Source organism: Homo sapiens, chromosome 9 (assembly GCF_000001405.40).
Source record: "Homo sapiens chromosome 9, GRCh38.p14 Primary Assembly".
NCBI classification, from domain to species: domain Eukaryota; kingdom Metazoa; phylum Chordata; class Mammalia; order Primates; family Hominidae; genus Homo; species Homo sapiens.
The window spans coordinates 27,247,707-27,260,850 of record NC_000009.12 but is presented as its reverse complement, the minus strand read 5'-3'; the positions used below and the strand labels follow the sequence as shown (position 1 = coordinate 27,260,850).

The 13,144-nt window shown below is 40.9% G+C and overlaps 1 pseudogene across 1 annotated transcript in view, besides 2 other annotated features; it reads left to right on the top strand.

Moving 5' to 3' along the window:
- The window catches only part of REXO6P (RNA exonuclease 6, pseudogene), a 37,110-nt pseudogene that overhangs the window by 21,943 nt on the left and 2,023 nt on the right, over positions 1-13,144 (top strand). Inside the window, exons 14-15 of the transcript NR_026679.1 lie at positions 2,083-2,156; positions 2,332-2,439. The product of NR_026679.1 is annotated as an RNA exonuclease 6, pseudogene (transcript). The remainder of the gene's footprint in view (positions 1-2,082; positions 2,157-2,331; positions 2,440-13,144) is intronic.
- Positions 8,701-9,200: an enhancer, noted in NCBI's record as "H3K27ac hESC enhancer chr9:27251649-27252148 (GRCh37/hg19 assembly coordinates)". NCBI's record gives its function as "activates a minimal SCP1, AML or CMV promoter by ChIP-STARR-seq in naive and primed H9 embryonic stem cells {active_cell/tissue: H9 hESC(naive and primed)}" and the evidence as "EXISTENCE:reporter gene assay evidence [ECO:0000049][PMID:30033119]".
- Positions 9,201-9,702: an enhancer, noted in NCBI's record as "H3K27ac hESC enhancer chr9:27251147-27251648 (GRCh37/hg19 assembly coordinates)". NCBI's record gives its function as "activates a minimal SCP1, AML or CMV promoter by ChIP-STARR-seq in primed H9 embryonic stem cells {active_cell/tissue: H9 hESC(primed)}" and the evidence as "EXISTENCE:reporter gene assay evidence [ECO:0000049][PMID:30033119]".

Below are 13,144 nucleotides of genomic sequence, written 5' to 3'. Positions count from 1 at the left end.
TCTGCCTTTCTTCCTCCCTTTCCAGCTACTTCCTTTCAACCTCCTCTGCTGAATATTCTTCCTTACCAGCCTCTAGTGGCAGAAATTCTCAGAGCTTTGGGAGCCTTGTCTCTCCATATCCCCCTTCTCCCTAGATGAACTGATTCTTTCCCATGGCTTTCAACAGCCTCTAACTGCTGTTAGCCCCTAAATGTGTATCTCTAAAGAAACATTTCCCCTGGACTCCCAGCTTTGCTGAATATCCATCTGCCTGCCTATGTGGGTTTCCCTCGGGTACCACAGCATCACCTGCATGAAGATGAGCTTGTGATCCTCTCCCCACCCTGGGATCATCTCCAGCACCCTCAATTCCCTATAGTCCACTTAGGTGTATTTGTTCCCCTGCTTAACCAAGAAACCTGGTGTCATCCTCACTGCCTCCTTTTTGTACACCCTTTCATCTGGACAGTGTGCGAGTCCCACTGTTCTGTGTCAAAAGCATATCCCAAACCTCCTGCTTCTCTGATCTGGCCCCTGCCCCCTCTTCCACCCTTTCCCTTGCTGTCTTTACACCACACTTTCTCCCACCTTTCTGGAGCCTTCTTGCCTGCTGCATCCTCGACTTTTCACATGGCTAATTCCTTCTTAACCTGGAGGTCTCTGCTTAATTGTCACATCCTCAAGGTCTTTTCCTGACCGTACTTTCTAAATAGGGCCTCCCTCTTCTGCAGCACCCTGTCTCTTTCTTCTATAGCAGTTAATTATATTTTGTAATGAGTTAGTAATCTGTCCACCATCTTCAAAAAATAAGCTTCTGGAGGGACTGTCCAACATTTTTTTCTCCCCATGTTCCCCCAGCACTTAGCACAGTTTCTGACACACGCAAGCCATCAGTAAACATTTGGATGGGTGAACAGGTAAATTATTTATGTAGATGTGGACATAACTATGGATAATATTGTAATAAATCCTATAAAAAGGAAATAGAGGGGAACCATGGGAGGAAAAATATATGAATAAATAATGTCATCAAGTAAATCAGACAAGCTCAATCCATCTTTAAAGCATGGAGGGCTTAGTTTGGGAAAGTGGGAGACTGTGAATTCCAAGAAGACGAACAAGGAGGGAAGATGCTGAGGAAGAATAAGTGTAGCAAACAAACCAGTTGGGCTGATGGGACCATACAGGATAATGGGCAGAACAGGGACTTCGGAGCCAGCAGAGCTGAGAGTTGGGGCTGTTCTGCTGCTTGCTTTCCCGGGCACGTTACTTTTACACCCTGAGCTTTTCTTACCATTTTGTAGAAAGGGCTTTGTATGGCAGTTTTTACTAGAAAAACTAGTGCAAAAACTAGTGCAAAAACTCCCTGGAGGCAGAGGGACTTGTTAGGGAGCAATTGGGAGAATATTTCCTAGGGCCAGACAGAAGGGCTCAGGGTAGGTAAGGGTATGGATGAGGTGGATGATAGGAGTAGGGTAAGAAAAGAGATATGAAGTATTGAGATTATTGCTGCGAAGAACGTGCAAGGTGTCTGGCGAAGGATGCAAAAGCCGAAGGCATCAGGACTTTGAAGGTCCAGCCAAGGTTGGAGCCAACATCTGTATTGTGGTCTCAGTCTGCATAACTGGGTGATTTTTCTTGGGTTGGATAAAAATCTGGATACAGGAATGGAGAAGGTGGTAGTTGGAACTAGTCATACAGAAGGTTCTAGCAGAAAGAAAAGGTCAGGGAGTAAGAGTAGATGTTGAGAGGATGATTGAAGTGGTTTGACTGTCAAACCAGTCAATGCAGGATAAAGTAAGGAAGCCAGAGGAGAGCTGATGGGCCAGGGCAAATGATAAAAAGAGGGGAAGAAAGGTGTTCACAACATTAGCAATTATAATTCACCTTCAAGCATGGCCCGTGAGAACTCTGCTTATCGGAATAGATTTTTGTCTATTATGCAATATCTAAAAAAGTAACTGAAGAGAGGTGACTTAAAAATATTTGCACAGTAGAGTCCTTAAAGCTCTTTAAGGGTCAAAGAAAATGCATGTTCATGAGAGTTAGTCACTCTGCCTTGTAAAGCTTGTTTTGATTTTTATTTTTTCGGTTGGTTTACAGTCCTCAGTGGCTTTGAATCTCAATACGGCTGTTGTGGAGGTTTCCTTGGATCGCCCCGGTGTCAGGTCGCCAAGGTAGGACTTGTCACCCAAAGTGCTGCCTGTTTCAGAAACCAAGTTGTAGCCTCCAACACAGGCCTTGGTGATGGATAAGCTTTTGAAAAAATTAACTAATTTTCAGTTGATGACATTTTATGAGCCTAATTGTACTTAGAAAAAACAGTAATTTATTTGACAATGTTTGTTTCAGCTTCATGTTCATGACCACAAAGAAAACCTAAAGGGCTTTGTGAAGACTTTTGTCAAGTTCCCACCTGCTGATGGTAATCACCGTGTGTTTGCAGTAAGTTGTGAGATGGTATGTTGGTTTTATATTTTACTTTACTGTGGTTATTATGACTGAATGATTGTGTAGCAGTCTACCTGGTAGAAGGGTTTCCAGGGCCTTATTCCTTGACGACACAGTGCTGCATTGGTTGTTCACAAATTTTCAGATGAAGCCATTAAAGCTGAGAAGAGTTAGTGAATTGGTTAAGTTCACGCACCTAGAGCGATGGAGCCAGGAACTGTCCTGAGTGTCTTTTTATCGGTCAAATTTCTAAAATATACAAATAGTGGTAATTCTACTCATCAAATTGCTGAAATTATGTGAGTGAAAAATAATCAGCATAAAAGCTTTAATGCTTTTGGCAAAATCATTTCTAGAGACAATAAAATCTTTATAGGGACTTATGTTCCTTTACATAAGAATCAGTGCTAAAAAGTGGGGAAAACAGAATTTGGAATTACAAGACCTGGAAAGTTCTACTAGCTGTGACCTTCTGAGCAAGTCTCTTAGATGCTCTAAGCTGTAAATTATGGAGTCAGTAACAACCCCATAGTGACTATGAAAATCAGATATGCTAAAATATAGGAAAGTGCTTTGTACATGTCAAACATATGAATAGTCATCTTTAATAAAACATAAGATAAGTTTTTATTCCCCATTGTATATTTGGAAAGAAGATTTGTGGCATTTCCTTATACTAAAGATAGAAGACAGTATTCCATTTTCCAGCTTAAGATCTTTTTATTATTGTTATTATACTTTAAATTCTGGGGTACATGTGCAGAACGTGCAGTTTTGTTACAAAGGTATACACGTGCCATGGTGGTTTGCTGCACCCGTCAACCTGTCACTTACATGAGGTATTTCTCCTAATGTTATCCCTCCCCTAGCTCCCCACCCACCAACAGGCCCTGATGTGTGTTTTTCCCCTCCCTGTGTCCATGTGTTCTCATTGTTCATATCCCACTTATGAGTGAGAACATGCGGCGTTTGGTTTTCTGTTCTTGTGATAGTTTCCTGAGAATGATGGTTTCCAGCTTTATCCATGTCCCTGCAAAGGACATGAACTCATCATTTTTTATTCCATGGTGTATATGTGCCACATTTTCTTTATCCAGTCGATCATTGGTGGATATTTGGGTTGGTTCCAAGTCTTCGCTATTGTGAACAGTGCCACAACAAACATAAGTGTGCAAGTGTTTTTATAGTAGAATGATTTATAATCCTTTGGGTATATACCCAGTAATGGGATTGGTGGGTCAAATGGTATTTCTGGTTCTAGATCCTTGAGGAATTGCAATACTGTCTTCCACAATGGTTGAACTAGTTTACACTCCCACCAACAGTGTAAAAGCATTCCTATTTCTCCACATCTTCTCCAGCATCTATTGTTTCCTGACTTTTTAATGATCACCATTCTAAGTGGCGTGAGATGGTATCTCATTGTGGTTTTGATTTGCATTTCTCTAATGACCAGTGATGATGAGCATTTTTTCATATGTCTGTTGGCTGCATAAATGTCCTCTTTTGAGAAGTGTCTGTTCATATCCTTTGCCCATTTTTTGGTGGTTTTTTTTTTCTTGTAAATTTGTTGAAGTCCTTGTAGATTCTGGATATTAGCCCTTTGTCAGATGGATAGATTGCAAAAATTTTCTCCCATTCTGCAGGTTGCCTCTTCATACTGATGATAGTTTATTTTGCTGTGCAGAAGCTCTTTAGTTTAATTAGATCCCAGTTGTCTATTTTCGCTTTTGTTGCCATTGCTTCTGGTGTTTTAGACATGAAGTCTTTGCCCATGCCTATGTCCTCAATGGTATTGCCCAGGTTTTCTTCCAGGATTTTTATAGTCCTAGGTCTTACGTTTAAGTCTTTGATCCATCTCGAGTTGATTTTTGTATAAGGTGTAAGGAAAGGGGTCCAATTTCAGTTTTCTGCATATGGCTAGCCAGTTTTCCCAACACCATTTATTAAATAGGGAATCTTTTCCCCATTGTTTGTGTCAGGTTTGTCAAAGAACAGATGGTTGTAGATGTGTGGTGTTATTCCTGAGACCTCTGTCCTGTTCCATTGGTCTATATATCTGTTTTGGTACCAGTACCATGCTGTTTTGTTACTGTAGCCTTGTAGTATAGTTTGAAGTCAGGTAGCGTGATGCCTCCACCTTTGTTTTCCTTGCCCAGGATTGTCTTGGCTATGCAGGCTCTTTTTTTGGTTCCATATGAACGTTAAAGTAGTTTTTTCCAATTCTGTGAAGAAAGTCAGTGGTAGCTTGATGGGGATAGCATTGAATCTATAAATTACTTTGGACAATATGGCCATTTTCACGACATTGATTCTTCCTATTCATGAGCATGGAATGTTTTTCCATTTGTTTGTGTCCTCTCTTATTTCCTTAAGCAGTGGTTTGTAGTTTTCCTTGAAGAGGTCCTTCACATCCCTTGTAAGTTGGATTCCCAGGTATTTTATTCTCTTTGTAGCTATTGTGAATGGGATGTCACTCATGATTTGGCTCTCTGTTTGTCTGTTATTGGTGTATAAGAATGGCAGTGAGCCGAGATCGCGCCACTGCACTCCAGCCTGGGCGACAGAGCGAGACTCCGTCTCAAAAAAAAAAAAAAAAAAAAAAGAATGCTTGTGATTTTTGCACGTTGATTTTGTATCCTGAGACTTTGCTGAAGTTGCTTATCAGCTTAAGGAGATTTTGGGCTGAGACAATGGGGTTTTCTAAATACATGACCATATCATCTGCAAACAGAGACAATTTGACTTCCTCTCCTCCTATTTGAATACACTTTATATCTTTCTCTTGCCTGATTGCCCTGTCCAGAACTTCCAATACTATGTTGAATAGGAGGGGTGAGAGAGGGTGTCCTTGTCTTGTGCCGGTTTTTAAAGGGAATGCTTCCAGTTTTTGCGCATTCAGTATGTTGGCTGTGGGTTTGTCATAAATAGCTCTTATTATTTTGAGATAAGTTCCATCGATACCTAGTTTATTGAGAGCTTTTTGCATGAAGGGGTCTTGAATTTTGTCGAAGGCCTTTTCTGCATCTATTGAGATAATCATGTGGTTTTTTTCATTGGTTCTGTTCATGTGATGGATTACGATTATTGATTTGCATATATTGAACCAGCCTTCCATCCCAGGGATGAAGCCCACTTGATGATGGTGGATAAGCTTTTTGGTGTGCTGTTGGATTTGGTTTGCCAGTATTTTATGGAGGATTTTTGCATTGATGTTCATCAGGGATATTGGCCTGAAATTTTCTTTTTTTGTTGTGTCTCTGCCAGGTTTGGGTATCAGAGGATGTTGGCCTTGTAAAATGAGTTAGGGAGGATTCCCTCTTTTTCTATTGTTTGGAATAGTTTCAGAAGGAATGGTACCAGCTCCTCTTTGTACCTCTGGTAGAATCTGGTTGTGAATCCATCTGGTCCTGGACTTTTTTTGGTTGGTAGGCTGTAAATTACTGCCTCAATTTCAAAACTTGTTATTGGTCTATTCAGGGATTTGACTTCTTCCTGGTTTAGACTTGGGAGGGGGTATGTGTCCAGGAATATATCCATTTCTTCTAGTTTTTTCAGTTTATTTGCGTAGAGGTGTTTATAGTATTCTCTGATGGTAGTCTGTATTTCTCTGGGATCGGTGGTGATAACCCCTTTATCAACTTTTTTTGTCTATTTCATTCTTCTCTCTTCTTTATTAGTCTGGCTAGTGGTCTATTTTTTTTATCTTTTCAAAACACCTACTGGATTCATTGAATTTTTTGAAGGGTTTTTCGTGTCTCTAGCTCCTTCAGTTCTGCTCTGATCTTAGTTATTTCTTGTCTGCTGCTAGCTTCTGAATTTGTTTGCTGTTGCTTCTCTAGTTCTTTTAATTGTGATGTTAGGTTGTTGATTTTTAGATCTTTCCTGCTTTCTCTTGTGGGCATTTACTGCTATAAATTTCCCTCTACACACTGCTTTAAATATGTCAAATGTGTCCTAGAGATTCTGGTACATTGTATCTTTGTTCTCATTGGTTTCAAAGAAAATCTTTATTTCTGTTTTCATTTTGTTATTTACCCAGTAGTCATTCAGGAGCAGGTTGTTCAGTTTCCATGTAGTTGTAGGGTTTTGAGTGAGTTTCTTAATCCTGAATTCTAACTTGATTGCACTGTGGTCTGAGAGACTGTTATGATTTGCATTCTTTTACTTTCAATTATGTGGTAGATTTTAGAATAAGTGCGATGAGGTGCTGAGAATAATGTATATTCTGTTGATATGGTGTGGAGAGTTCTATAGATGTCTATTAGGTGCACTTGGTCCAGAGCCGAGATGAAGTCCTGAATATCCTTGTTAATTTTGTCTCGTTGATCTGTCTAATATTGACAACGGAGTGTTAAAGTCTCCCACTATTATTATGTGGGAGTCTAAGTCTCTCTATAGATCTCTAGAAACTTGCTTTATGAATCTGGGTGCTCCTGTATTGGGTGCGTATATATTTAGGATAGATAGCAGTTCTTGGTGCATTGATCCCTTTACCATCATGCAGTGCCCTTCTTTGTTTCTTTTGATCTTTGTTGGTTTAAAGTCTGTTTTATCAGAGACTAGGATTGCAATCCCTGCTTTTTTTTTTTTTTTTTTTTTTTTTTTTTTTTTTTTGCCTTCCATTTGTTTGGTAAATATTCCTCCATCCCTTTATTTTGAGCCTATGTGTGTCTTTGCATGCGAGATGGGTCTCCTGAATACAGCACACTGATGGGTCTTGACTCCTTATCTGATTTGCCAGTCTGTGTCTTTTAATTGGGGCATTTGGCCCATTTACATTTAAGGTTAATATTGTTATGTGTTAATTTGATCCTGTCATTGTGATGCTAGCTGGTTATTTTTCCCAGTAGTTGATGCGGTTTTTTAATAGCATCAGTGGTCTTTAGAATTTGGTATGTTTTTTCAGTGGCCGGTACCAGTTGTTCCTTTCCATGTTTAGCGCTTCCTTTGGAAGCTCTTGTAAGGCAGGCCTGGTGGTGGCAAAATCTCTCAGCATTTGCTTGTCTGTAAAGGAATTTATTTCTCCTTTGCTTATGAAGCTTAGTTTGGCTGAACAGGAAATTCTGCCACTTGTTTCTTTTCACTCTTTTTTCTCTAATCTTCTCAAGTTGAAAATTCTTCCCTTTAAGAATGTTGAATTTTGTCCCCCACTCTCTTCTGGCTTGTAGGGTTTCTACAGAGAGATCCGCTGTTAGTCTGATCGGCTTCCCTTTGTGGGTAACCCAACCTTTCCCTCTGGCTGCCCTTAACATTTTTTCTTTCATTTCAACCTTGGTGAATCTAACAGTTACGTGTATTGGGGTTGCTCTTATCGAGGAGTATCTTTGTGGTGTTCTCTGTATTTCCTCAATTTAAATGTTGAGTTGCCTTGCTAGGTTGAGGAAGTTCTCCTGGATAATATCCTGAAGAGTTTTCCAACTTGTTTCTATTCCTCTCATCTCTTTCAGGTACACCAATCAAACATACATTTGGTCTTTTCACATAGTCCCATATTTCTTGGAGGCTTTGTTTGTTTCTTTTCACTCTTTTTTCTCTAATCTTCTCACTTTCATTGAGTTGATCTTCGATCTTTGATATCCTTTCTTCCGCTTGGTCGATTCAGCTATTGATACTTGTGTATGCATCACAAAGTTCTCGTACTGTGCATTTCTCAGCTCCATCAGGTCATTTATGTTCTTCTCTAAACTGGTTATTCTAGTTAGCAATTCGTCTAACCTTTTTTCAAGGTTCTTAGCTTTCTTGCGTTGGGTTAGAACATGCTCCTTTAGCTCAGAGGAGTTTTTTATTAACCACAGTTTTGTTCCCTTGCTGGTGAGGAGTTGTGATCCTTTGGAGGAGAAGAGGCATTCTGGTTTTTGGAATTTTCAGCCTTTTTGCGCTGGTTTCTCCCCATCTTTGTGGATTTATCTACCTTTGTTTGGCCTTTGATGTTGGTGACCTTCAAATGGTGTCTTTGGATGTCCTTTTTGTTGATGTTGATACTATTCCTTTCTGTTTGTTAGTTTTCCATCTAAAAGTCCGGACCCTCTGCTGCAGGTCTGCTGGAGTTTGCTGGAGGTCCGCTCCAGACCCTTTTTGCCTGGGTATCACTAGCGGAGGCTGCAGAACAGCAAAGATTTCTGCCTGTTCCTTCCTCTGGAAGCTTCACCCCAGAGGGGCACCTGCCAGATGCCAGCTGGAGCTCTTTTTTATGAAGTGTCTGTCGAACCCTGCTGTGAGGTGTCTCCCAGTCAGGATACATGGGGGCCAGGGACCCACTTGAGGAGGCAGTCTGTCCCTCAAATGCTGTGCTGAGAGATCCGCTGCTCTCTTCAGGGCTGTCAGGCAGGGACATTTAAATCGGCTGAAGCTGCGCCCACAGCCACTCCTTACACTAGGTGCTCTGTCCCAGGGAGATGGGGGTTTTATCTATAAGTCCTAACTGGGGCTGCTGCCTTTTTTTCAGAGATGATCTGCTGAGAGAGGAGGAATCTAGAGAGGCAGTCTGGCCGCAGCGGCCTTGTTGAACTGCGGTTGGCTCCGCCCAGTTTGAACTTCCCAGTGGGTTTGTTTACCCCGTGAGGGGGAAACCCCATACTCAAGCCTCAGTAATGGTGGACGCCCCTCCCCGCACCAAGCTTGAGCATCCCAGGTCGACCTTAGACTGCTGTGTTGTCAGTGAGAATTTCAAGCCAGTGGATCTTAGCTTGCTGGACTCCATGGGGGTGGGACCCGCCAAGCCAGACCACTTGGCTCCCTGGCTTCAGCCCCCTTTCCAGGGGAGTGAATGGTTCTGTCTCGCTGGCATTCCAGGTGCCACTGGGGTATGGAAAAAAAAAAAAAAAAAAAAAAACTCCTGCATCTAGCTTGGTGTCCGCCCAGCCACCCAGTTTTGTGCTTGAAACCCAGGGCCCTGGTAGGGTAGGCACCAGAGGGAATCTCCGGGTCTGCCGGTTGCAAAGACTATGGGAAAAGCACAGTATCTCGGCTGGAGTGCACCGTTCCTCCAGGTGCAGTCTCTCATGGCTTCCCTTGGCTAGGGGAGGGAAATCCCCCAACCCCTTTCACTTCCCAGGTGAGGCGATGCCCCACCCTGCTTCAGCTCATCCTCCGTGGGCTACACCCACTCTCCAACCAGTCCCAGTGAGGTGAACCGGATACCTCAGTTGGAAATGCAGAAATCACCCGCCTTCTGCGTCGATCTCACTGGGAGCTGCAGACTGGAGCTGTTCCTGTTCAGCCATCTTGCCAGCCCTCCCATCTATTATACCCTTATTTGTTCTTATTCTTCCATGAGTTTAATAGAATCTTCCCTAATTCCTTTTTTTGGAACGAATCAGGAAATAGGTAACTATTGATATTCATAATGACAAAATGAGAACTGAAGGGCTGACATTAGTTAAAAAACAAAACAAAACAAAACAAAAACCTTTGAATCTTGAAAACATTCAAATGCATTTGATGCATTACATTCTTTAGAAAATATTTTTAAACAAACCCATGCACTCCATCTATGCTAACTTCTTCTTGATCTAAATGTCTTATTAACTATGTGTCATATTCCCTAACTAAGCCAAGTAATGGAGCCAGGTATCTTTTGCTCCTTACAAAAGACAATATCACCATATAGTTTCAGTTAAAAATACTTGTGCAGTATTTTTCTCCCTTAGCAGTAGCTGAGTTCTAAATATTTATTTTAGTGTGTGCTTTATGAAAGCCACTAGAGTAGTCACTTTCCTGCATGCATTTTCATTGGGTCCTCATAAACTAGTAGGTTGGTAATTATCCCTACTTTACAGAAGAGCAGACTGAGACCAGAAGATTAAATAACTACCTGAAAATAACATATAGTAAGTAAATGGCAGATCAAAGCATAGTTCAAACCCAGGTTTTCTAGAATCTGCCCAGGGCTCCATCTGTTCGACCATGCTACCCATATTTTGTCTTTAGGCTTATGTTACTGGGAGACAGGATACTTAACAAATGGTATTGAATAAAATTCAGATTATGCAAAGATCAGAATTCAACAGGAACTCTGAACTTGTAATAATGTATTCTCCCCTCAGCCTTGCATTATGGAACCAAATGATAAATTTTCCTAGTTTACCAATGTAAACTAGCAGAGAGGTAGTTGACAGTCATGCAGATAAGATCTTTGTTTCATTCAGCTGTTTGTCACATTGGGTCAATAATGTGTTCTAACTATAACTGATAAAATTCATGGAGTTAAATTTTTATATGCTATTATATGTCATCTTGGGGTAGGTTTTCTGGTGTGGCAGAAGATGACTTGAAGAACATTAAAACATCAACCCGTGATGTCCAAGCTATCTTGTTGAACCTGTTTAGTGCTGACACTGTACTAATGTGTCACTAAAGTGATGTATTAATCGGACATCACTTTGAACATAGTCTATACCCTTAGGTAAAGAATTAGAAGCCAACATATTTTTTTACAAAAAAAATGTATAAAACCACATGTGTTAAGATAGCAGTCATTATCATTATGTTATAATTGATACTTGATTTGCCCTGTTAACCAAGAAGACAATAATCGCTGTCTTTGCTGATGATACAGTCTAACTACCACAAACTAGAAGCCGTGTCAGACAGTTCACATCATCTGGCTAATCAAGATCATAAAGAATAGTCCCTCATCAATTATGATAAAACCCAAACCATTGTTTTCACAGACTTTCCTTAATAATCAAATAGACAAGACTAAATTTATTAACTGATTATTTTATTCACATACTTAGGGGTCTTTTTCCACATTAAGTCAGGTAGGCTCAAAATTAAATGTTAGGTTCATTTTCTTGGCATAATAGACATGAAAACCTTTCCTTAATATACTCCAGGTTAAAATGTGTGTGTTTTGCTCTACGTTCTAGACCTGGGCCAGTGAACTACGGCCCATGGGCTGGCCACCTGTTTTTCTAAATATTTTTCTTGGAATGAAGCCATCATACCCACTCATTTACAGATTGTGTATGGCTGCTTTCACACTTTAATGATATTGTTGAGTAGTTGTGACAGATCATGTGACTTGCAAGCTGAAAATATTAAATCTGGCACTTTTAGAAAAAAGTTTACCCATCCCATCGTAGAACGGTGTTATCCAAAAGAACTTTCTATTCTACATCTGCACTACCCAATATGGTAGACACTAGGCACACTTGGCTGTTGAGCACTTGAAAGATGTCTAATGTGACTGAGGAAATGCATTTCTAATTTTGTTTAATTTTAATTTGAATTTCAACAGTCCCATAAAGCTTGTGGCTACCACATTGCACAACACAGCTCTAGAACTTTCGGGACCTTTAGCTGAGTGTTTGTCTCAGCCACCCCTAGGACTAGCCTTCATGCAGAGAAGGGCTAGCTCTTCTTCAGTGCAAAAATATGAGTAAGGCCATTTAATTTTCATAGATGAATATCAGCCTTTTTCTTGATGAAGCTGGTATCCAAAGTATAGGATATTTGTTTCAAAGAGTAATGTTGTCTCTGCATGTGACAAATGAGACTGGAATGTACTTGCCTCTGGACCTTGCCAAACTGTAAGAAAAGAGAGTTGGGGACATGAGTTTTTCATAAGAAAAAAGGGGTATCCTCTTGTCCCCTCAAAAACATCATCTCCCAAACTGCACCTCTCACTATGACTTTCCTGCCCCTGATTTCTCAGGAACCATTCTATCCTGCATGTCCTCCAGACCAGAAAATTTCAAAACATTGCATTTCCTCATTCCTTGGAATCGTTCTGTTTCTTCCACCCAGAAGACTCATGGATTTTCATACTTTTCTCTATTTCCACCATCAACTTCTTTTAGAGTCATCTTATGGAAACTTCCCTTGTCCCCCAAGCTGAGTTTTGTCTGTTCCAACCCCTGTTTCACCTTTCCCCACTACTCTGAAAATCCCTGAGAGTAGGGACACTGTGCTAGGATGCCCCAAAGTGGTACCTGCTGCGGGAGTTCCCCACTCCCTCCTTCTCCCGTGCAGCTTCTTGATCATTTCTCCTCTTCTTGTGCTCTGTGCTCCCTACAGACTACCCTGCAGGTAGGAACCAGTGCCGAGCATGGTGGCTGGCACACTGAATAATCATTTAAAGTGTTATGTCAGGCAAGGCATAGTTGATACTAAATTTTAAATTTATGACTCCTCATTTCTTAGTCTTCAAATTACTCTTGTTCTCAGGCTAATCTTTAAATGCTTCTTTCAAAGTACAGTTCTCCTAATAAGGAATCCAAACTGGTACCTGACTTCCTGAGCCCTTAGATTATCTGACCCCTCTCCCTCCATATCTATTCTATCAATAATATTTTCCACATCACCAAACTTCAGTAAAAACATATTCAGCTTCTTCCATGTGTAATCATGGGGGATTTGGAACTAGATAGGCCTGAGCTGTTGTGTGTGCCTTCTCCCCAGAGGCAGATAAGCAAACCACTGAAATGCGATATGGCATGTACTGAACTGGGGTGTGCCCCTCTCAGCCAAGTCACAATGTGGGCAGAGCCTGGTTCTCTGCCTCCCCGAGTGCTTGTGAGAACCTCTCTGCCCTGATGTTGCCCTCTGGTGGTTCCTCATGGTAGAAAAGTGTGGACTCTGAAGTTAGACTGTTTAGATTTTATTTCCTTCAGCTCTACTAAGTAAGTTTAGGCAAGTTTTTTAACCTCTCAAAATTTCAATTTCCTTGTCTATGAAGAGGGACAATAAAAATACCTATCTCATTAGG